The sequence below is a fragment of the Homo sapiens genome, chromosome 3, assembly GCF_000001405.40.
Source record: "Homo sapiens chromosome 3, GRCh38.p14 Primary Assembly".
In the NCBI taxonomy this organism is placed as follows: domain Eukaryota; kingdom Metazoa; phylum Chordata; class Mammalia; order Primates; family Hominidae; genus Homo; species Homo sapiens.
In genome coordinates this window covers 104530273-104556417 of record NC_000003.12, presented here as the reverse complement: position 1 = coordinate 104556417, position 26145 = coordinate 104530273, and the positions used below count along the sequence as shown (strand labels likewise).

The window sequence follows — 26145 nt, the reverse complement described above, 5'->3', positions numbered from 1 at the left end:
CAAATATTTATTAATGCCTAGCACATATAAAGACTGCATTAAATGCTGGCAATATAACATAAATTAGGAAATGCATGGTCCCTATTCATATACACAGATAGTCTAGTGGGGAATATAGAAATTAAATTAGTAATTTTACATAATGTAGTAGAGAGTTATAATATGGTCCCCATGAGTCAAGCCTCCTTGTGTCCATGTCCCAGAGCAATGTAATGTTTTTGTTCCTTCCAACAAAAAGTGGAGTCTGTTCCTCCACTCTCTTGAATTTGGGCTGGCCTTATAAATTGCTTTAATTAATAGAATGAGACAGAAGCTTAGTGTGTAAATTCTGGATCCTAGGTTTTAGACACCTTACAGTTTCTGTTTTTGCCAGTTGTAATAATGTCCTGAGACTACAACATAAGAAAACTTGTCTAACGTACTGGAGAATGAGAGGCCATCAATCAGCAAAAGCACCAACTGCCAGACATGTGAATAAAGCCATTTTCATCCTTCCAGTTGAGTGAACCCAGGAGAGAGCAGCTGATGTAATACCTGGCCAACCTACTGAATGTAAGCAGTAAAATGTATTTTTTTGTTTCTCTGTTTGAAGCCATTGAATCTGGGATGAGTTGATACACAGTGATGAATAAGTGATATCATAATCAATTAGATAATTAAAACTGGGTTATTTGTTGGAAAGGAAAAGTATTAAGATCTTATTCAAGGTCACCTAAGAGATAGTGAAGCTGAGTTCTGAAAGATGGGCAAGATGAAGAGTGTGAATGTTGGAGCTGGGAATGGGAATCGAGCAGGCAGTATATCATTAAAAGTAGAATAAATAGCATGAGCTGGAGTGGGGGTGCGGAGGCCCAAATTTAAGAAACTAAAAGAAGTGAAAAGAGGCCTATATGACTGTGGATTAGTTGCCAAGCAGGATAGTTGGAGAAATGAGGCCAGTGAAAATCTTACTCCACAAACATTTACTGAGTAAATTGTGAGGGGAGTCTTATTTGGTACAGCGAGAGAGATGTAAGTTAAACGGCATGGTCATGTCCCTAAAGAAGTACATTATAGTAGCACAGTGATAGGAGAAGGATAGATATGTTTTGACATAATATAATACAAACCTGAGTGAAATAAGTAGTTTGCCATAACTTCTAAGAGCTTTAATAGTATAGAAGACAGAAGCAATTTATCACATGACTATGAGACTGTCTCGGCTGTAGCCTTTTACTCCAGACTCAAGGGCCTAGCCACTGAGCCAACTACTCCTATGGTAGATATAGCCCCTAATTCTGCACAAAGAAACAACGATTTACATGATGTATAAGCTATTGTTGTTTTTGTCTAACCAAAAAATTTGTTAACCAGGAAAAAATAACCTAGGGTTATGGAAATCTTTTTAGAGTTACACAGTTCTAGGAATCTGAGCAATTACTCAGTTAAAATCTTTCATTTTATAAATGAGGAAGCATCCCAAAAAAGGTGAACTGATCTGCATAAGGTTTTCATGCTTGATGATGATGGCACTCAGGGTGCAAACCAGGTCACTTGAACTCTAGTTCTGTGCTTTTACTAAGACTTCATCTGTTGGTTATGTAGCTGCCTCAAACTTGAGAGGTACTTGGTCAGGTACAGATATGGTTTGGCTGTGTCTCCACCCAAATCTCATCTTGAATTGTAACTCCCACATACTCCATGTGTCATGGGAGGGACCTAGTGGGAGGCAACTGAATCATGAGGATGGGTTTTTCCCATGCTGTTCTTGTGATATAGTGAATAAGTCTCACGAGATCCAATGGTTTCTATAAAGGGTAGTTTCCCTGTACACGCTCTCCTGCCTGCTGCCACGTAAGATGTGCTTTTGCTCCTCCTTCACCTTCCGTCATGACTGTGAGGCCACCCCAGCCATGTGGAACCATGATTCCATTAAACCTCTTTTACTTCATAAATTACCCAGTCTTGGGTATTTCTTTATAGCAGTATGAAAATTCACTAATACAGTTACTTCTCACTAATCTTTAAAAGCAGGCTTGCCTTATTAAGCTTATATTTGAAAATGTCATTAAGACTTAAGTCACTCTTATGCCCAATTTTTGGCATGCAGTTAACAGTTAATAGGGTGGTTAACAATGAACTTTTTCTTGTGTATGTATATTCCTATTTCCTTTAAGCTCTCCTAACCAGACTGATTTAGGGGGAATTTGGAAATCCCATCACGTTCAGGTGATATGACTTTAGCTGTTGGAGGCCTCTTTGGCCAATGTTCAATATATTGAGACACCTTTTCTAAATGCTTTACATATGCCATTTAAAATTTATAACTCACAGGAAGAAAAAAAAGACACAAATATATTTTCAATGCCCAATTTTTTCTCAGTATCCTATGGAGTATTTTCTGTTTAGCTTCCACTAAACAGCAGATGTAGCTGAATAATATCAGATAGGAAAATAATCCATAACTACCACTGTTGGCATTTGGGCATTTTCCTGGGCCATTTTTCAATGGCAGAACTGGCCAGGCAGTGTTGACAAGGTTACATTTCAACTATAAAAAAACTATGTCAGCATCAGAATCACATTTTTATTTGTTGCTCTAAGTATGGACATTTATTGTCCTTCTTAGTTACTAAATCTTAGAGAGTTTTTATATCCTAAAAAGATCTTTGAAGGAGAAAGCTTTCTTGGTGTACTTCATACAAGGCTGTCAATTTTTTTCCGATTCTGTTCATGCAAAACATAATGCATGAAAGGATAAGAGAATCGAGATAAGGGAAAATGCCAGCAGAAAATTATCTCTTTCTACATATACTTGTACTTGCTGACTGTCAATAAGGATCTGTATTATATCTTTCCTTTGTCTACCTTGTTATGTCTAACATTCCAATGCAACAGAAATGGGATGAAGGATAGCCTGGCTTGAAGACCTTTTCAAAATTACAAAGTCCTGAAAGTCATCTCATTCAGACAGATAGATGTAGACAATACCCTGCTTTCAGTGAAATTGATGCATACAGCCCTGAATGCAAAAATGGATATTGAGCAACAAAGAAAGAAATGTGATATTTCACATTTGAAGCTTTCACATGGCTTTTGTGCTTTGTGGAAGTTCTGAATTCATTATAAAACATATTCTTTAAAAATCAACTCAGAGAGCTGCCAAGGGATAATTTAGGGCAGGGGAAAAAATGAAAACACTGTGGTTTAGAGTTTAAACAATACCTCATTTTCAAATAAAATGTCTGTAGTAAATTGCAGATTGAAAAGGAAAATGATTATATTCTGTGATTGAGCTTCTCAGGCCGCAGTGTTTTTGTGATAAGAAGGGGCATCCACATAAAACATAAATGAAGGCTGAAGGTGTATGTAATCATACAGTCTTCTATTTGAGGATGTTTTGTGTGTATTGGTTTGTGTGCGTGTATGTCTGTGTCTGTACCTATGTGTATGTATTTCAGAGGCAGCGTTTTAATTGCCTCTACAGCTTCCCTTATCAACCTATCTGGATCCAATTGTACTAACATTTTGCTCACCTTTCAACTTCTTTAATGTTTCTCCCTGGTTTGAAACAACATAAATTTGGCTTCCTCATCAAGAAGCTCATTTAGCTGCAGCTTGATTGCAAGTAATTTGCCCTAAGTAGCTCCATCTTTTAATTGTCTGTGCCTTTTTGCAATCTATAAACTGTTAACTTCAGGCAGGCCATTTTGTCTTACTATTTTTTCCTTAGAAAAGCATATCTAATATTCCCCATATCCTTTGGCTTTAGGCATTCCTCACCATATGAACAGAAGGGATAGGATTTTCATGTAGTTTTAATTGATTTAAAAAATAAATTCACAACCTTTTGATATCTGGAAAGAGGTAAATCAAATATGATCCACAAAAGTTAATGTTGTGTCTTTTGTTATTTTTAAGAGAAGAGATAAGAAGAAAAAGGGAACATTGGTTTCTGTGGCTACTAAAAACAATAGTAAGATAGTTCTCACAGAGATCAAAAACTGTAAAAGGAAGAGTTTTTTTCAATATGTTTAGATATTCCCCAGATTCTTGTTTTATTCTGAGAATAAGGAATATATCCTAAAGAAAAATATTCTGTCCTTTCTGAACTGGCATCATTTTCTCTAGTAAAGACATAAAATCTGACATCTTTGTATCCAGGTTTGCTCAAGTCCATGCATAAAATATCCTTTTCAGAAAAATCTCATTGAAACCCTATAAGATACTGTTTTCAAATTACTTCTTACAACTAATCTTTTACCTAATGTGTATCACAAATATGTTAGATTAGCTGTATATTCAGGGATGATCCATTTCAAACAAATAAACTATATATTTTTCTGATCTATACTTTTAATTATTCCAAAGCTAACTGATAAAACATATAATATCCTATCTTCCCCTAAATATGAAGAGCAATTAGGGTGTTTTCATTTACTTATCACACAATAAGTAAATTTTTGGTAAGTAACATATACTCTCATTTCTCTTTGCTCTTGAAACAAGTGAACATTTCTACTTCATCCTTACTTTTGAGGTCATAGATGGACATTTCAAATGTTTGAATTATGCAGTTTTGAAAAAAACAAAAATAATAAACAGAAGACATGTCACTAGTGTGAATCTTATTGCAGAAGATTAAGGATCTAGGAATTAGCATATTAGCATTTTACATACATCTAAAGTTAGGTAATTGAATAGCCATTAAATTAACCATTTCCTGCCACATTATGTATAAAAAGAAAAATGTAAATTGAAAGAAATATCACTGGTTAAAAAGTTTTTATCTATGTTAAGAGATTCAGTTGACCAAATCAGAGCAATTTGTTTCAGATGTATATTGTTAAAGATCAGCTAAGTCAGAATAAACCAGTTTACTTTAATTCTTTTGGTCCTAACCGGTAGGTAAAAAATCCTTGAGAGTTTCATTTCTTTTCCTTTTTTTTTTAGTCAGTCTCACTGTCTCCCAGGCTGGAGTGCAGTGGTGTGATCATAGCTCACTGCAGCCTTGACCTCCCAGCTGCAAGTGATCCTCTTACCTCAGCCTCCCGAGTAGATGGGACTGTAAGTGCGCTCCACGATGTCTGGTTAATTTTTTAAATTTTTTTTGTAGAGTTGGGGTCTCCCTATGTCACCCAGACTGATCTTGAACTCTTGGGCTGAACTGATTCTCCCTTCTTGGCCTCACAAAATGTTGGGATTACAGGAGTAAGTCACTGTGCCTGGCTGTTTCATTTTTCTAAGGAGTGTTTGAAACTGTTAGCTTGACAGTCTCTGAAACTCTAATAGCATCCTTTGTTACATCAGTCTTTTACTGGTCATTTCAGATTTTTAAAAATATGTAATTTGCTTTCCTAGTTACTGAAGTGATTACTGATTTCAAAACTACGTTGATTCAGACTTGAGTTCTGAGGTACCTTTTTATCCAAGCCAGGTCTTTTTCTCTGAACATATTGCTAATCTACCTTCTACAAATTAACTTTTTTTTCTTTGTAAATTTTGGCATTAAAAATGCAAAGTTGGGGAGAGGACCACCAAGTGGATTCCATATAGTATGCTCAAAGTTATGTAAATATGCTGAATGACAGTTGTAAAGCTGGTATAGAACTTTCCTATGCAAAGATATTAGATAAAAACTTGACAACCCTTCCTTACAGTTACAGGAATATGTGGTTCTGTCCTAGGATATTTGAGTCCTTGGAAACCCAGAAACTAAAAATAAATATTATGTCCTAACATTTAAGTACATGCTCCACAGCATAGAATAGAAAAAAAAAAAAATCTAACAGTTAGAAACAGACATCATCTTGTGAAAAAAATAGGCTAGAACTCTATTCATTTTTTTATCATTCAACAACTATTTACTGAGCTCCTACTATGTGCCAGGTCCAAGGGATACAGAGATGAACATAAAAGGCAGTATCTGAAGCTTCATGAGGCAAATATTTTAGTGTGAAAAACTAAAACCAATGACTAATTACGTGATGGTAGCTTTGTTTGGATGGTTGTAAGTGGATCTCTTTAGAAAGTTGAGTTAGAGTCAGTCTCTTCAGAAGAACAACATTTAAGTTGAGGTTTGAAGTATAAGAAAGAACCAGATAAATAAGATTACTTCCGACAAAGATCAAAGGTGTACACATTGCAGTTTAATTTTGCTCTACCTTTTATAGAATCATAGGAGCCACTGTTCAGTACCACTATAACTTGTCTTTACGCCATGATCCCTTTTATTTTACTTAATTTACAAGTTTTCTTAGCTTAATTTTTTTATTCACTTATCTACTTTTTCTCTTGCTGTTTTCTTATCTTTTCTATCCAAAAATCAAACAGTAGTAGAAATTGAGCATAGTGATAATATTTGGGTTTTCACATCTCCAAATCAATGCATAATTAAAACTGTTTGCTTTTTTATTCCTAATGCCCACAAATTGCAAATGTTAGTTCAATGAGACTAGAAACCAAATCTATTGTTTTCTTTGTGGCTCCTATTACCTGCATACAGGGATGCACAGATGTCACAAAACAAAACCCATAAAAGCTTATGCTCAGTGAATAAATGTGTAAATAAGCAAATAAACAGATTTAATAAACACCATAATTAAGAAACCATGCACCTAATTTGTGACCAGGTCACAAGAAACTTATGTGTAGAATCACTGTCACTTAAAAAATACTATTTTAAGTAAATAATTCATGTTTAGAACAGATACTAGCATTTGATTTCAAATTTTCACTTTTATCCACATAGATCATCCTTCTAATCTACTGGATAGATTGAAATACTGGCAAAATAAGTTCCTGGGAGTAACGAAGCATTTTACTGGTAAGACTCACAACACAGTTATTTTTGGATAAGCATCAGAAGTTTGGGGATATTGTCTGACTATTCAAACAACTTAGATAATAAGTGGCGAACATCGTAGATCTTGTTTCTTATCAACTCTGCCCCAAATTAAAATACCAAGAATGCAATAATATTTTCCTCTGAGTCATGTATTTTTCCATTAGTTTAAGAGTCTTTTTTAGTAATATTTTTTTAATTCTGCAGCTCATGGTGGCCAGTGAAAAAGAGTCTGTGAGTCTGCACTTGATTATTAGTCTCACTTACTGTGTACAACAGCAAGGATCCTGTTTTCTTGAAAATATTTGAGACAGCCTCATGGTGAGCTGTAAAGTTATTAATGTTGCTTGATATTTGCTTTGACAGCTGCTCTGTACTCTCTTTAATCATCTTCATCGTGGTCTATAGCTCTTTTTTCCTTCCATTTCACTTTTGCCTGTGCTGCTTAGAGAGGAAGATGCATGCAGAAAAACTGATAGATCCCCCTCCCCTCACATTTTCCCAGATCTTTCTATTCTACAAGTTTAAATTCATTCCATCATTCAGACATTTATTTATTCAGTAAGTATGTATTTGACTTCTGTCATATTCAAGACCTTAGATGAGGTTCTGGGGATATAGAGATTAGCAACAGGTAATTTATGCTTTTAATAAATTTATCTTTTAATAGGCCAGCTAAGATAGCATCATGACAAGGTAGTTGCCTGTGACAAGACCCATAACACAGAGACTTAAAAATGTGGGCTTAGAGTCAAGTAGATACAGATTTGGATCTTGATTTCTCTACTTACTAGCTAAGTGACAGTATACGGGCTATTAAGCTCCTAAATACCTACTCCCAGATATCCTCAAACTTTAATTGTCTTATCTGTAAAATGGGAGTAATATTGTACCTTCTTCATGAGGATTCAATAAATATAAGGCCTAAGTCACAATGACACTTTCATGAGGTAAATATTTCCCTTTTCCTTACGCCCCTTAGTCATCATTTTATAGAACAAACAACTTAGACGAGAAATTCAGTCATTTGTTCAGTCACTCAGCTAGGAATGAGCGAGCAAAATTAAAAACACAGATTAGCTTGCCAACAGACTATAGGCTTTGTAAGGAGAAATGGCACTTCAGTTTAACTCATGCTACATTCGCGTGCACAGGGTAGTTAGTCCCTGGCGTCTACTAGGTTGTTGAACGAATTTCTCCACATTCATGTTTCTTCAGCAACCCATGCTGATTCTTGGTAGGGATTAAACCTAATGACAAGTAAAAGACTCTGCGATTTGTATATTAAGTAGTAGAGACTTTGAGTAGGGATGTAGAAACTTAACTGTGTTGTTCATAACATATTTGAAAGGAAAGAGACTGGCTGGGAAAAGCAATATGGAAGATTTCTCAATGTATACAGAAGACAGAAAATGAAGCTTTGGAGTAGGAGAGAGTAATGGAGATGAATAGGATTGATTAGATGGGGGGATGGAGGTGGTGATAATGTTCTTTTTCCTGATGGCTGATAGAATAATAATATTGTTAAAAGAACGTGTACTCTTTTAAAACAACAACAACAATAATAAGCAAGCAGTGCAGGCAGGAGAAAGAAGCAAAGAATTTTTGTGGAACTGAAAGTAAAAAATTTTGCCTTTTAACGTGTTGACTTTTTAATATCTACACATATTTGGGAAGAAGTTGGAAATAAAGTACTGGAGCTCAGGAGAATGGTAAGGTTGTAGATGCAAATTTGAATGTTTCCAGTATAGAGGTGTTATTTGTAAATTTATAAAATTACTAATGGAGTTTACCTCTTTCCTGTACAGGCTAATTATTTATTTCTTTAGGTTAAGTCATATCTCAAAAGAGATATAATTTCATGAAAGTCTTGGCTGAACATTTTTCCTTGGTTAAAAAATAGATGTAATATTTAAGTATGTTTATGAAATTCAAAAACATTTCATTTACTTGTAAGCACTAAAAATCAAGGCTGAATCTCTCATTTAAACAAATAATTAACTCTGGAAATAATAGTTTCAACATTCTAATAAATGGACTTACAAATTATGCTTTTCTGATGTGGACTTTAGTTTGCATTGTCTTAAAAGTTCAACAAAACACACAAACAAAGGTGGGAATGTTGAACACTTTGATTTTGCTATTATAAAAAAAAAGGCTGGTCTCTAAGTATCACAAATCAAAGGACAAGGGTTCACGCTCCTTTACATTGCCAGAATTTTCTCTTTCTATAAGAATATGCTAATTTTTAAAGGAAAATTCCTTTTAGCCTGCTCCAGTCTTTGCTCTTTCACAATGTTGCTGGTAAAGGGAATAAACATCTCTACTAAGACATAGCATTTGCATCTTAGAGAACAGATGTGTTGCTGTTTGCATAGCTTCCAGGGGTTCTGCCAACTAGTGGGCCTTATTATGGAAAATAACACTGGAAGCTCTTTAAAATACTATTGCTGGGGGTCGGTTGGGCTTAAAGCTGCTGCACCGTGTACAACAGGATTTTACTGTGTGTAGTTATATTTTAGGAATGATAATTATCTCTGAAACTTAATAGAATCTATTAAGCTGAGCCATGTTCAAACTGAATTAAAGGGAAGCTTTAGATCTAATTGAGATTTCTAGAGATAATTTTCAGGTGTTGAAATGAATAATTACAAAAATAAATATATCTTTGCACTCTTCATTATGATAGTAGCAGATACATAAAAAATTATAGATTCCAGTAATGGTTATGGAGAAATATATTATTTATAGAAAAGTAATATGGAAAGATAACATTCTCAGTAATTATAACCCCAATTCCTATATTATATTGTCATTAAACATTTATTTTAAAATTATGGGCTTAAAAATATTTTCCTTATTTTTAGTAAATTACCTAAAAGTACCAAAAAGCAAAAAGTCTAGTATCTTACGTAAAGTTCATAGGGACTGCTTAGAAGACATAATTCACAACATCTCACAAGAAATCAAGGATTATCATGATGTAATGCCTCTGGCAAATTACTCCAAAGCACAAATACAGGCTAATCCTGAACATGTGGCAACAGGTTCTGTTGTATTGGTCTGGCGTGTGTGAGACTTTGCAGTTCTCACTGATAACACCGTGCATTATCTTGCCTAGTGTTTTTCTAATTAATTTTCATTATGCTACTTAGTGACTGATTAATCTGAATAAAAGGTGAGATATCCATGGATTATTTTAACTTTGACAGGCTGACAGATTGGACTGGAGATGCTAGTTGGCTATTTCACAGTATGGAGGGAGCCAGAATGACCTTAGATTCTGCACATTGTCCAGATCCCCTTATTTTCCATTAGAAATGTCTCATTTGGACAGCATGCTGGATCTGCCCCAGTGTTTCATTCATCTTTCAACCTTCTTGAAAGTTATGCTCTTTATGTCCATGAGGGATACATATTAAAGGACTATTCTATGATTAATAGTTGCATGGCTATTATATGGGCTACTAAGTTACATAAGAACAAAGAAACACTCCTTTTTTTTCATTACCTTCTCTACTTCCAACACATTCTACCAAACTAATGTTGATGAAGAGTCAAACTCTGTAAAATATGTGAAGAGATTTATTCTGAGCCAAATAGGAGTGACCATGGCCCATGACACAGCCCTCAGGAGGTCCTGAGAACATGTGCCTAAGGTGGTCGGGGTGCAGCTTGGTTTTATACATTTTAGGGAGGCATGAGACATCAATCAAATACATTTGAGAAATACATTGGTTTGATCCAGAAAGTCAGGACAATTAGAAGCAGGGTGGAGTGGGGAGGGTGCTTCCAAGCTGTAAGTAAATTTAAACATTTTCTGGTTGACAATTGGTTGAGTTTGTCTAAAGACTGGGGATCAATAGAAGGGAAATGTTCAGGTTAAGACAAAAAGATTGTGAAGCCCAAGGTTCTTTGAAGTCTCATAGTGGCTGCAGATGTTTCCTATTCAGAATTTTAAAAGGCACTAGACTCTCAGGTAATCTCTTCAGGATTGGGAGGGCCTGGAAGAAAAAGATCTAGCTATCTTAATAGAGATTCTTTAGAGAAGCAAATTTCTCCCCACAAAGGATGGCTTTGACAGGCCATTTCAAAATATGGCAAAGAAACATGTTTTGAGGTAAAATATTTTGGAATTCTTCTTTGTCACATAATGTTTTGCCAGAGTCAAATTGGAAAGTAAGTCACAATATATAGGGTTAAATAAAACCCATCTGGTTAGAATTTATGGTTTATGGGGCATGATTCCCCAGACCACTTAGATAGGAGTTTGAGCAAGGTAAGAAAAAAGCAGAGCTTAGTCCTCATTAACTATGTTTTATGATCTAGATTTATTCATTAATAAAAGTGCATAGCAAAACAATTTTTGCACTCAATCAATATACAATTTGTTAGTACTAGTAACATCACTTCTACTACTGTGGACCAAGAAAATAATGACATCTTTCTGCCCTTCAAATCTCCCTGGTAGTCACTGGGAGAAAACCAGTGGATTTGCACTTAATTGGAACCCTCTCTTCTTTACACCACTCTCTCTCCTACCTTCATTCCTATAAAGAAACTTATTTGTGGATGGAATTGCTTAATATTTCTGGTGCAGTTAGCATTCTGCTAGTACAGTCATGACTAAAACAACAATATGACAAACACTGACAGTGACAGCTGCCCCCGTATAATTTTCAATTAAAGATTATGAGGACAAACTCTTGCCATGATAATTAGATTGATGAATGTCATCAGGAAGAACAAAATGAGAAAGGAAGGTAAGTCAAAATTATTTGGAAAAGAAATTAAAGAATGCTTGTGTAGCAGGACAAGCTGCAGACAAAACCCCTCAGACACGAGTTAAAGAAGGAAGGGCTTTATCTGGCCACGAGCTTTGGCAAGACTCACGTCTTCAACAACCAAGCTCCCCCAGTGAGCAATTCCTGTCCCTTTTAAGGGCTCACAACTCTAAGGGGGTCCGCTTGGGATGGTCGTGATCGATTGAGCAAGCAGCGGGTATGTGACTGGGGGCTGCATGCACGAGTAATTAGAACAGAACAGAACAGGACAGGGATCTTCACAGTGCTTTTCTTATACAAATAACTGATTAGGTCAGGGGTCGATCTTTAACTACCAGGCCCAGGGTGTGGCGTCGGGCTGTCTGCTTGTGGATTTCATTTCTGCCTTTTAGTTTTTACTTCTTCTTTCTTTGGAGGCAGAAATTGGGCATAAGACAATATGAGGGGTGGTCCCCTCCCTTACTTGAAGTACTGAAAAAGGAAACACCACCCCCACCCCTGGATTTATTATTATTATTAACATATTTTTTAAAGAAATGTATTTTCTTTTCTGCCACCTAGTTTTGAGAAACCTAGACATAATAAGAATTTGCATGAGAGGTTCTAGAAGTAAATAATTAAATGAAAAATATCTTTGTAAGAGGTAAGCTTTTTAGATGATCTTCATTTGGGATGAGAAAGACCTGTGTTTAGCTTCGAACTCACATGTTTGTTATTAAAAACAGGTGTTTAGAATGGTTTACTAGAATGATTGCATTTCGTTAGATCCTAAGATATTCTATATGTCTTGCAAACACATTTTTGGGGTTCCTTTCTGAAATCATCTTTCCACAATGTTCTGCCCATATTCTTTTCAACCAATACATTCCAATTTATAAAATGTTAACTAGCATACTAAATTATTGCGGAATTATCTGTGCCCACAACCTAAGACAGGATTTGTACCGTATACTCCATTGAGTTCAATTTGGCATATACATCTGCAGGTATCACCCTAATGCTTATAGTTGTAGCCCTGTTTCTCACCCCAAAAACGAAAACAGCAGGAAATGTAGACATTTGGAATAATGATGTCATGTATGGCCAGAAACTTACCATTAAATTGTACTATGATCTGTGAAAGACAACTAATGTTTTTCCCTGTGTTTTGATAGAGTGCCTTTATTACATTAGTAAATTTGTCCTGATCCAGTTTCATGTTTTCTGATTTAGAATTGTGATGCTTTGGCATACTGAACGTGGGCTACTTTCGGGGATAGATATGTATTCACTAAAGTCACAGAGACTGATGTATAAAATCAAAATGCCAATGACTTGTTTTACAATAAGAACTAAAACCATCATGAAGATTATAGTAATTTTATCAGTGTAACCACATCTTTCCCTGAAAGCAGATCATATAAGAAAGCAAATTATATTCAGAAATTTGCTTGGTGTTCACAGTATAAAGCCACAGGCCTTGAATACCATTAGTTCTTAATTCTAGTCTTAAGAAAACATTCAATTGTTTAAGAATACACTCGCGCTGGATCAAAAGCATGTTTGGATGGGGGCTGCCAATGGTTTCACAAGTGTTTTGTTATCCTTTGTTTCCAAGACTGAGGCCCTCCTACTAATTGACATATTATTTCTTTGATATGCTAATATATCAATAAAGTTATAGGTTGTCTTAAAGGTTTTAGGGCCATATTTTTCTTTTTGAGATGACTTTAGTGATCTATTTTTCTAATCCAGAGTGTATTGAAATACCTTTTAACTAAGAAAGTAGTCTCCTTATTTCCAAGTTCTTAGGTATATGTTTATGGTAACTCATAGTTAAATCCCAAACCAAAAACAAATATTTAGATAAATTTATAAATCTATCTACTTAATAAGGGATGGTGCTAATTTGCTTATGACCATCTCTTCAGTGCCAACTTCAATATTTGGCTTACAGTAGGCAATGAATTAAAATTTGTTGAATGTATTCATGTTAATGTTAATTTTATTAGGTAGATACTAAAAGCACAAATTTCTTGTATCCCTCATTATTAATTGGTACCTAAGGTACAAGAATATTCAAATGTATAAAGAAAAAAACAGACCCTCTTATAAATGTAGTGTAATACAAATCTCATAATGTTTTGCCGTGTGTCATATTGGCCTAGAAGTATTTGACTTCCTGTCACTATGAACAAAGGATTAGAATTAGTATCAATTTGTTATTGGTATTAACTCACTTCTCTGAAGTTATTCTTGAAATTAGTTGTCTTTAATTTCTTTAAGTTAATTATATTTATTTAATGTGGCTCATCCAAATTTAAGCTTCTTGAATGTAAGAAGGATGCTTTATTGTTAAAAATTTTTGGAACTGCATTTTGCCAAAGTTCCAAATGCAGTGCTGGAGATACAGGTATTGCCAATAATAGCTTCTTATTTGACTAAATCTATTTCTAAATTACAATTTGTTTAGTGTATTCTAAAATGTGATTTTTTTCATCAAAAGAGTAGCTGGTTCTGCACCTTATTTTAAGGAAATTATATGACCCAATATCAGAGCACAAACCATACTAAGACAATGAGAGAGATGTTCCTTCTTTTTATAGTTTGATTTGAATTCAACATGGCCAGAGTCTATTCCATTAACTTCACAGTATCCCTTATATTGAAAAGCCATTCGTGACATTTATGTACATTTGTATATGGAATTTTGTATGTGTTATGTATTTTTGATAATGCATTCAAATTTCCTTCTTCTCTGTACCTCTTCCTTCTACTACAAATAAAAAGGATGAATAAAAATAAATAAAAATGTTATAAATAGTCTAATATTTCACAAAGGCAATGGGAGAAGGCTGCTATGACAGATGAGTAAAAAATATCTAAACCTCTTTAATCAAAGAGTACATTTGTCCTTCTTAACCATTTTTTAAATTTAAAGATTTATTTAGTATTTAAAATTCTTACCTAGTCAATCAGTTTTCTTTTGAGAGAATCTTAAATCAAAAGGTCTGTATAAAGTGCTTCAATACCCAGATGACAAGTCTGGGTCTTAATTGATCATCTTCACAAACATTAATGACATTTTCTACTGGATAAGTATGATTTCCTTGAATGTCTGGATCCATGTATATGAAACATGTTCTAGATTATCTTTAATGTCATGAGAATATACTCTCTTACTCTGAAATAAGTGTGTATTTTTAAGTAAAGGCTCTCCATAGGCTATGCTATTTGCTATTAATAGTTGTGTTTTGGCTATTACTAAAAAGCCAAAAGATAACAGATGCTGGCAAGATTGTGAAGAAAAGGGAATGCTTAGACACTGTTGGTGGGAGGGTAAATTAGTTCAACCATTGCAGAAGACAGCATGACAATTCCTCAAAGACCTACAATCAGAAATACCATTTGACCCAGCAATCCCATTACTGGGTATATATCCAAGATAATATATATTTTCTTTTTCTTTTTTTCTTTTTTTTTTTTTTTTGAGATGGAGTCTCATTCTGTTACCAGACTGAAGTGCAGTGGTGCGATCTCAGCTCACTACAACCTCTGCCTCCTGGGTTCCAGAGATTCTCCTGCCTCAGCCTCCTGAGTAGCTGGGACTACAAGTGCACCACCATGTCTGGCTAATTTTTGTATTGTTTTTAGTACAGATGGGGTTTCACCATATAGATCAGGCTGGTCTCAAACTCCTGACCTTGTGATCCGCCCACCTCAGCCTCCCAAAGTGCTGGAATTACAGACATGAACCACCGTGCCTGGCCTGAGAATATAAATTGTTCTATTAAAAAGACACATGCATGCCTATGTCACTGCAGCACTATTCACAATAGTAAAGACATAGAATCAACCTAAGTGCCCATCAGTGATAGACTGGATAAATGGTACATACACACCACAGAATGCTATGCAGCCATGAAAAAGAATGAGATCATGTCCTTTGCAGGAACATGGATGGAGCTAAAGGCCATTTGCAAACTAACACAGGAACAGAAAATCAAATACTGCATAGTCTCACTTACAAGTGGGAGCTAACTGATTAGAACACATGGACACATAGAAGGGAACAACGACTCTAAGGCCTATCTGAAGTTGAAGGATGGAAGGTGGGAGAGGATCAGGACAAACAGCTAATGGGTACTAGGCTTAATATCTGGGTGACAAAATAATCTGTACAACAAACCCCCATGACACAAGTTTACCTATATAACAAACCTGCCTCTGTACCCCAAACTTAAAATGAAAAAGAATAAGTTATATTTTGCTACTGATTGTAAGTGGAATTTCAGAGAACATGATGTTAACATTGTATAAGATTTAGATACCTTCTGTCTCAGTCTGTTTGTGCTGCTATAACATAATAGTGGTGACTGGGTAATAATTTATAAATAATAGAAATTTCTTTCTTAAGTTTCTGGAGGCTTGGAAGTACCATATTAAAGTGTCAACATTTGATGTCTTGTGAGGGCCTTCTTGCTGCATCCTCACATGACAAAAGCAGCAAGCACTGTGTCCTCACGTGGTGGAAGAGCAGAAAAGCAAAAAGGGCCTAGCTAGTTTTCTCCAACCCTTTTATATGGCACTAACCCATTCATGAGGGTTCTTAGTCACTTCTGAAAGGCCCTGCCTCTTAATATCACCATAATAAGAATTAAGTTTCAACGTATGAATTTTGGGAGATATTCATTGCACCTTCTTTGCTGCAATTTCTGCCATTTGCAGTCCAGGTGTTATTATAATTCCTTATGATGAAGTTCTGGAAAATTCTTCTAGTTTCTCAGACGAAAGTGTTGGAATATGCATGCTGTCTTCTTATTTTTTTTCTTGATAATTCATTCTACTATTTTTGACTGATATTACTTTATTGGTTCTTTTAATCATGTACTCATTTCTATTTCCTTTTGAATAGTTTAATAAAATGAAGCCACCTAGGACTAGATATTAAAAACCAAAGTCAGCACTAGAATAAAATTAGAAGATGTAGGGTGTGAATGAGGACATACTTGTATCTCTAATAAAAATTTTTGACCTCTAGGTTAATTATGTAACATATCTCAATTGTTATAAAGATACAAGGTCAGAGTTGAGTATTTTTTTTAATAGTCTAGAAGAAGACATTAAACTAGGGTTGGTATTAGAAAAGGGTGAGTATATTTTAATCAAAAATGCCAAATTACATACACATATATATAATTATATACATGTACATATATGTGTGTGTATACATATGTGTGTATATGTATATATATGGAAAGAGAGAGACATGAAGAGTTTGTGTTTTTTGCTATAGTATATCTTTGTGATTTAGTCAGAATATATAAGAAGGTCATTCAAACTGAGCTTCAGTGGTAATATAAATGAGAAAATCTGAGTTCCTGAAAGTAAGTAGAATGAAGCTTTGTGTTTTAAGAATTTTAGGGGAATTTTAATGTAGTTTGTTAAGAAGATTATGTTTTTCTAACATTTCACTTGTGAAATCCAATCAGAAATTGAGGCCTAAAGTCTATATAGATCCTTAGAATAAGATTTTTGGCAGCTGATTGTTCTCTGAAAGCAGGAATTCATGTGTGCTATCTGTGTTATTCTAAATTCACTTGCATTTATTTTTCTCTAATGGTTGTATGTGCAGCATGTAGTGACTCTGTGGTAATCGCCCTTTTCCATAACTCTTGTTTCTTCACGGTTGGAGGGGATTTAACTACCTATCAGTAGTGATTTTGATGTTTCCTCAAGAACAAAAATGGTCTCATTAGAAATCTAGAATCCAAGGAAAATTTTATAACTTATTTGGATCAGAGAGTTGTCTGTGATGAGAGAAGATATAAACAGATAATTTGTCCATTATTTTCCTAATTGGCTTGGATCCAAATGATTCCTCAGACAAACATGGGTCATGCCCAGGACAGTTTAATTTCCTTTTTAATTTCAGCCCAAAAAATATGAAAAGCTGTAGAGATAAATATTTTCATAGAAGTATATGTCATAAAATTATACATGTGTGTATTTCACATTAAAAGTAATGCACAGACTGAAACCTTTTTGTAAATTTAACAAATTCTGATTAAAAATACAGTTTTTATCAAGAGCATAATTTCCTAATAATCAGTTCACACAAACGAAAATCAAGGAAGCAGATTTTAAACTTAACTACTAATAATCAATTTTAGAAGAATGCACTTAAGGTGAAAATTAATGATTAAGATGTAGATAATAAATAATACTTTAATTACATTCTGATTCTTGTATATAAAGATTGCTAGTAGTTTTCATCTTTTTCTCCTCCTCCTTTTCCTCTTTCTCCTTTTATCAAGTCCTATTACATAAGACTACAACTGTAAAAGGGATATTTGGGAGGCCGAGGCGGGTGGATCACGAGGTCCGGAAATCGAGATCCTCCTGGACAACATGGTGAAACCCCTTCTCTACTAAAAATACAAAATTAGTTGGGCGTGGTGGCACGTGCCTGTAATCCCAGCTACTTGGGAGGCTGAGGCAGGAGAATCGCTTGAACCAGTGAGTCGGAGGTTGCAGTGAGCTGAGATCCTGCCACTGCACTCCAGTCTGGCTACAGAGTGGGAAAAAAAAAAAAAAAAGAAAAAGAAAGAAAGAAAGAAAAGAAAACTCAATAATAAAGATGTGTTGCATCTTATCATGGAATTTATTCTAAATCCCACTAATATATTGTATTTTTATTTTGAATTAAATAAAATACACATTCAAAAAAATAATGGCCCAATGTATTAGACAAGTTTTCACAAATTGTATTAATAATGTCAATGCCATGTGTTTGACTCTACTTTAATCAGTTAACTTCACTGTTTTCTCTATCAGAGTCTCCACACATAATTTGATTCCATGTTTTAGAAATTTTACTTATAAAATGATCAACTGATGTATTTCTAAGAAAGAAAAATTAGTAATCTTCCTTGATAATAAGAAGCACCGTCTTTGTTCAAAATAACAAAAAATATTAACAAAAATTTACTTTAGGACATGTGGATGTATACTTTAAACATGATATCAGATTAGCTTTCAGACAACTGTGTGCTATAATTTCTACTTTAAATAATTCAATTTAGGTAGAGCACTAACAGTACCTACACTAAATAATTCAATTTATACAGATTATTTTTTCACCCTGGTGTTGAGCCTAGTACCCATTAGTTATTTTACCTGATCCTCTCCCTCCCAACCCTCCACCCTCAAATAGGCCTCAGTGTCTGTTGTTCCCCTCTTTGCGTCCATGAGTTCTCATCAGTTATCTCCCACTTATAAGTGAGAATGTGTGGTATTTGGTTTTCTGTTCCTTTTTTAGTTCGCTAAGGATAATGGATGTAGACAGATATTTGTCCATTATTTTCCTAATTGGCTTGGATCCAAATGGCTCTTCAGACAAATATGTTATGTCCGAGACAGTTTAATTTCTTTTTGAATTTCAGAACAGAAATATGTGAAAAGCTGTAGAGGTATATATATTTTTATAGATGTATGTAAATCATAAAATTATACATGTGTGTCCATCCATGTTCCTGCAAAGGACATGATTTATTCTTTTTTTTCTGGCTGTAAAGTATTCCATAATGTATATGTACCACATTTTCTTTATCCAGACTACCACTGATGGGGATTTAGGTTGATTCCATATTTTTGCTATTGTGACTAGTGCTGCAGTGAACATATGCATGCATGTGTCTTTATAATAGAACAATTTATATTCCTTTGGGTATATAACCAGTAATGGGATTGCTGAAGCCAATAGTATTTCTGGTTCTGGGTCTTTGAGAAATTGCCACAGTGTCTTCCACAGTGGTTGAACAAATTTACATTCTCACCAACAGTGTATAAGTGTTCCTTTTTCTTCACAACTTTGCCAGCATCTGTTAATTTTTGACTTTTTAAAAATAGCCATTCTGACTGGTGTAAGATGGTATCTCATTGTGGTTTTGATTTGACTTTCTCTAATGATTAGTGATGTTGTGCATTTTTTTTCCACACATGTTGGCCACATGTATGTCTTCTTTTGAAAAGTATCTGTTCATGTCCTCTGCTCACTTTTTAATGGGGTTGTTTGTTTTTTTACTTGTAAATTAAGTTCCTTATAGATTCTGGATATTAGACTTTTGTCAGATGCATAGATTGCAAATATTTTCTCCCATTCTGTAGGTTGTCTGTTCACTCTGTTGATAGTTTCTTTTGCTGTGCAGAAGCTTTTTAGTTTAATTAGGTCCCATGTGTCAGTTTTTGTCTTTGTTGTAATTGCTTTTGACATTTTCTGCCAGGGCCTATGTCTAGAATGGTATTTCCTAGGTTATCCTTCAGGGCTTCATAGCTTTAGGTTTTACATTTAAGTTATTAATCCATCTTGAGTTGATTTTTGTATGTGGTGTAAAGAAGAGGTCCAGTTTCAATTTTCTGCATGTGGCTAGCCAGTTATCCCAACTTGCTTGTATTTGGATAACTAGTTGGTAACGTGAAGAGGTATTATTATGCCATCATTTTATTTCTAATACTTGAAGCCTTTTCAAAGAAACATGCAGAACTCATACCTGTAATTGCATTCTTATGTCTTTTTGCATAGTTCTGGAGTAAGGGTAAATTTCTACATATGGACTTACTTTTTTGCAAATATTCTCTCCCATTCTGCAGGATGTTTGTTCACTCTGTTGATAGTTTCCTCTGATGTCCAGAAGCTCTTTAGTTGAATCAGATCCCATTTGTCAGTTTTTGCTTTGTTGCAATTGCTTTTGGTGTCTTTGTCATGAAATCTTTGTGTTTTCTTATGTCCAGAATGGTATTGCCTAGGTTGTCTTCCAGGGTTTTTATAGTTTTGGGTTTTATATTTAAGTCTTTAACTCACTTTGAGTTAATTTTTGTATATGGTGTAAGGAAGGGGTCAAGTTTCATTCTTCTGCATATAGCTAGCCAATTATCCCAGCACCATTTATTGAATAGGGAGTCCTTTCCCCAGTGATGTTTTTGTCAGCTTGTTTAAGGATCAGAGAGTTGTAGGTGTGTAGCCTTATTTCTGGGTTCTCTATTCTGTTCCATTGGTCTCTATGTCTATTTTTGTGCCAATACCATACTGTTTTGGTGTCTGTAGCCTTGTAGCATACTTTGAAGTTGAGTAGATGATGCCTCCAGCCTTGTTCTTTTTGTTTAGGATTGCCTTGGTTATTTGGACACTTTTTTGGTTCATATGGATTGTAAAATAACTTTTTCTAGTTCTGTGAAGAATGGCATTGGCAGTTTAATAGAAATAGCATTGAATCTAAATCTATAAATTGCTATGGGCAGTCTCGCCATTTTAATGATATTGATTCTTCCTATCTATGAGCATGGAATATTTTTCCATGTGTTTGTATCATCTCTGATTTCTCTGAGGAGTATTTCATAACTCTCCTTATAGAGATCTTTGACTTCCCTGGTTAGCTGTATTCCTGTGGTATTTTATTTTTTTGTGTGGCAGTTGTGAATTGGATAGCATTCCTACTTTGGCTCTCTTGCTTGAGTATTGTTGGTGTATAGGACTGTTAGTGATTTTTGTACATAGACTTTGTATCTTGAAACTTTGCTGAAGTTGTTTATCAGCTTGAGATTTGGGGGCTGAGACTATGCGGTTTTCTAGATGTAGGATCTTATCATCTGAAAACAGAGATAGTTTAACTTTCTTTCTTCCTATTTGGATGCCCATTATTTTTTTCTCTTGCCTGATTGTCCTGGCCAGGACTTCCAATACTATGTTGAATAGGAGTGGTGAGAGAGGGCATCCTGGTCTTTGCCAGTTGGATGCGTCCAGGTTTTGCTCATTCAGTGTAATGTTGACTGTGGGTTTGTCATGGATGGCTTTTATTATTTTGAGTTATGTTCCTTCAACACTTAGTTTATTGAGAGCTCTTAACATGAATGTGTGGCAAATTTTATCAAAAGGCTTTTCTGCCTCTATTGAGATAATCATGTGGTTTTTGTCTTTAGTTCTGTTAATGTGATGAATCACATTCATTGATTCGTGTATTTTGAACCAACCTTGCATCCCATGGATAATGCCTACTTGATTGTGGTGAATCATCTTTTTGATACGCTGCTGGATTTGGTTTGCCAGCATTATGTTGAGGATTTTTGCATCAATGTTCATTAAGGATACTGGCCTGAAGTTTTATTTTCTTATTGTGTCTCTGCCAGATTTTGGTATCAGGATGATGCTGGCCTCATAGAATGAGTTAGGAAGGAGTCCCTCCTCATTTTTTTGGAATATTTTCAGTACAAATGGCATTAGCTCTTCTTTGTACATCTGGAAGAATTCAGCTGTGAAATTATCTGGTCTTCAGCTAATTTTTGGTTAGTAGAATATTTATTACTGACTCAATTTCAGAGCTTGTTCTTGGTCTGTTTGGGGATTCAATTTCCTCCTGGTTCAGTCTTGGGATGGTGTATGTGTCCAGCAATTTATCAATTTCTTCTGGAATTTTGAGTTTATGTGCATAGAGGTGCTCATAGTATTTTCTGATGACTATTTGTATTTCTTTGGTGTCAGTGGTAATATCCCCCTTCTCATTTCTGATTGTGTTTATTTGAATCTTCTCTCTTTTCTTTTTTATTAGTGTAGCTAATGGTCTATTTTATTAATTTAAAAAAACCAGCTCCTAGATTCATTGATCTTTCAAAATTGTTGTGTTTCTCTATCTCCTTCAGTCCAGCTCTAATTTTGGTTATTTCTTGTCTTCTGCAAGCTTTGGGATCGGTTTGGTGCTGGTACTTTGGTTCTTTTAGTTGTGATATTAGGTTGTTAATCTAACTGAGATCTTTCTAACTTTTTGATGTGAGCATTTAGTGCTATAAGTTTCCCTCTTAATCCTGCCCTAGCTGTGTCCCAGAGATTCTGGTATGTTGCATCTCTCTTCTCATTAGTTTCAAAGAACTTCTTGAATTCTGCTTTATTATTTACCCAAAGGTAAACTCAAGAGCAGATTATTCAATTTCCATATAACTGTATGATTTTGAGTAAATTTTTGGGTCTTAATTTCTTATTTAATTGCACTGTGGTCCAAGAGTTTGTTTATGATTTCAGTCCTCTTGCATTTTCTGAGGAGTGTTTTACGTCCAATTACATGATTGCTTTTAGAGTATGTGCCATGTGGTGATGAGAAGAATGTATATTCTGTTGCTTGGGGGTGGAGAGTTCTATAGATGTCTATAAGCTCCATTTGATTCAATGCTGGGTTTATGTCCTGAATATCTTTGTTAATTTTCTTTCTTGATAATCTGTCTAATATTGTCAGTGGGGTGTTAAAGTCTCCCACTGTTATTGTGTGAGAGTCTAAGTCTCTTTGAAGGTCTTTAAGAACTTGTTTTATGGAGCTCCTGTGTGTTGGATGCATATGTATTTAGGATAGTTATATCTTCTTGATGAATTGAACCCTTTACCATTCTGTAATGCTCTTCTTTGTCTTTGTTGATGTTGTTGGTTTAAAGTCTGTTTTGTCAGAAACTAGAATTGCAACCCCTGCTTTTTTCTGTTTTCCATTTGCTTGGTAGATTTTTCTCCATCTCTTTATTTTAAGGCTATGTATGTCATTGCATGTGAGAAGGGTCTTTAAAGATAGCATACCAACAGGTCTTGGTTCCTCATCCAGCTTGCCACTCTGTGCCTTTTAATTGGGGCATTTAGGACATTTACATTCAAGGCTAGTATTAATATGTGTAGATTTGATCCTGTAATCATGTTAGCTGGTTATTTTGCAGACTTGTTTATGTGGTTGCTTCATAGTGTCCCTGGTCTGTGTATTCAGTGTGTTTTTGTAATGGCTAGTAATGGTCTTTCCTTTCCACATTTAGTGCTTCCTTAAGGTGCTCTTGAAGCTTCCTTTGAGAGCTTCTTTCAGATCCGGGGGTAATAAATTCCCTCAGCATTTGCTTGTCTGAAAAGGATCTCATTTTCCCTTCACTTAGGAAGCTTAGTTTGGCTGGATATAAAATTCTGGGTTGGAATTTTTTTTCTTTAAGAATATTGTATATTGGTCCTCAATCTCTTCTGGCTTATAGGGTTTCTGCTGAGAGATCTGCTGTTAATCTGGTGGGCCTCCCTTTGCAGGTGACCTGACTTTTCTCTTTAGCTGCATTTAACATTTTTTTCTTTCATTTTGACTGCAGAGCATCTCAGGATTATATGTCTTGGAGATGATCTTCTTGTAAAATATCTTTCTGGTGTTCACTGCATTTGCTGAATTTTAATGTTGGCATCTCTACGTAGAGTGGGGATGTTCTCATGGATGACATCCTGAAATATGTTTTTCAAGTTGGTTACACTTTCCTCATCTCTTTCAGGTAGACTAATCAGTCATAGATTTTGTCTCTTTACATAATACCATATTTCTCAAATGTTTTGTTCTTTCCTTTCCATTTTTTCCCCTATTCTTGTATCACTGTCTTATTTCAGAAAGCCAGTCTTAAAACTCTGAGAATTGTTTCCTACTTATTATAATTTGTTGTTAATATTGTGATTGCATTATGAAATTTTTGTAGTTCATTTGCAGCTTTATCAGGTTGGTTCCATTCTTTTCTATAGTGGCCATTTTGTCTGTCAGCCCCTGCATTGTTTTCTCATGAGTTTTAGCTTCCTTTGATTGGGTTTTAACGTACTCCTGTAGCTCAGTAATCATTGTTCCTATCCATATTCTGAATTCTGTTTCTGTTATTTCAGCCATTGCAGCCTGGTTCAGAACCCTTGCTAGAGAGGTGATGCGGTTATTTGGAGGAAAGGAGGTGCGGCAGCTTTTTGTGTTGTCAGCGTTCTTGAACTGATCCTTTCTCTTTCCTGTGGGCTTATCTTCCTTCAATTTTTGAGGTTGTGGACCTTTGGATGGGCTTTTTTTTTTTTTATCTTTTATACTATTTGATGACTTTGAGGGTTTCATTTTGGTATAACATGAAGGTAGCAGCTGACTGGCTTCAATTCTACAAGATTTTATGGGGCCAATGCTCAGTTCCCAGCTCCTGGACTGCCTGCTGTAATTCTGTAGGACTTGTATTTGGCCCTGGCTTTGTTCTCTGTCTCCTGATTGTTAGGAATCCACTGCGCTGGGGATTGAAGGTGCTCCTGATCTCCTGGGCAGTACACTCTGATGGGTTATGTCAGCCAAAACGTTTCGTATTTTGGTGGCAGCAGGATCTGTTCTTATTGTCACATGTCAGCAGGGGTAGCAGGAGCTGTAGTAGCATGCTATTGGTTGCCTCCCTCCCTGCAGGCATTCACCACAATGCCAGGGGAGAGGGCAGACCAAGGGGCCCCTTCTGGCAACTGTGTATATGGTCATGCTAGAGGTGGTGTTATGCTGGTGGGCACAGGTCTGGGTGCTGTCTCTGTGCCCTGCAAGCAGGAGTAGTCACTCAGGGCAAGGGAGGATCTACTGTTCTCTATACAGTGTTAGCTACAGGGCAGGGCACTGCAGGGGGTGGGCTCTGTGCCCACCAAGGCTCTGTCTGCAATGGCATTCAGCATGGAACAGGATGGACTGCACTCCTGTGCGCTGAGAGGGTGAGGAAAGCAAAGCCAGCCCGTGGAGACACATATCAGCAATGAGATGCGGGGAGTTGCCCTGAGCCTGGGGGAAGCTGCAGTATGGAGAGGGAGCGTACAGGCTAGTGCATGGCCATGGAGGCTGCCCCACTGAGGCTCTCTGCCAGTCAGGCATGGTCCACCAGCACAAAAGTTATGGTGTGGGCCCCTAGGGCACACGAGGCTGCCCTGCACCTAGGCATAGCTAGGCTGGCGCCCTGGAAGGGGCCAGCAGACCAAGGAATTCTCAGGTCGGACTGACCCTGTCTGATGGGCAAGACTGCCCTCAAAGTTCGGGACTGACAGCTCCCCTAGGGCTAAAATCTCTTATGGGTGCAAGTCGAGCCTAGGAGGATGGCTGTCCCTGGCCATGCTCTGTTAGAGACACTTCTACATCCCACCCTCTGGGCTCCAATCAGCTAGCTTGCTGCCCCTACCACTTCTCTAAGCAGCTCTCCCTGCCAACTCCAGTGTCCATGGTGGTCAACAGGTCTCCTCCTGCTGGAGTTCCAGAGGCCCATGGCAAGAGTAGGAAACTCCTTGCCAGTTCAAATCACCCATTCCCCTGAAGCTGTTGGGAGCCAGGAAGGAGTCCAGGTGTGTGATAGCCCCATATAGGGTCCCCAGCTTCTTCCCCCTTCAGCCCAGCTTCTATGTCTTCCTTTTGTCCACACTCAGTGTTTTCCCTTTGAAAATCTGTTAGGAGCACACCAATTGTCTTGGTCCCCCAGCGAGAGCTGTTCCACCTGGCTGGGTCTAGTTGGCCACCTGGCCCTCACTTTCCACTTTTGATTCTTAGGCATTTAAAACAATACTATTGATCAGTCAATATAAATATATTTTTCTATTGATTGGATGAGCATATCTTAAATTGAGTTAACTTTTTTGACATACATAAAAACTTAAGGAACAACTTTCACCAAAAACTGTCTATTAAGCCAGTTTTTTTAAGAAGGAATGTGTTGAAGGAAACACATAAATTTTGGGATTCAAGTAATATA

General features: G+C 36.0%; 1 long non-coding RNA gene across 1 annotated transcript in view; it reads left to right on the top strand.

Moving 5' to 3' along the window:
* Positions 1-344: 344 nt before the first annotated feature.
* The window catches only part of LOC105374021 (uncharacterized), a 40806-nt gene continuing 15005 nt past the window's right edge, over positions 345-26145 (top strand). Inside the window, exons 1-2 of the long non-coding RNA XR_007096271.1 lie at positions 345-552; positions 6731-6805. This is a non-coding gene — a long non-coding RNA (uncharacterized LOC105374021). The remainder of the gene's footprint in view (positions 553-6730; positions 6806-26145) is intronic.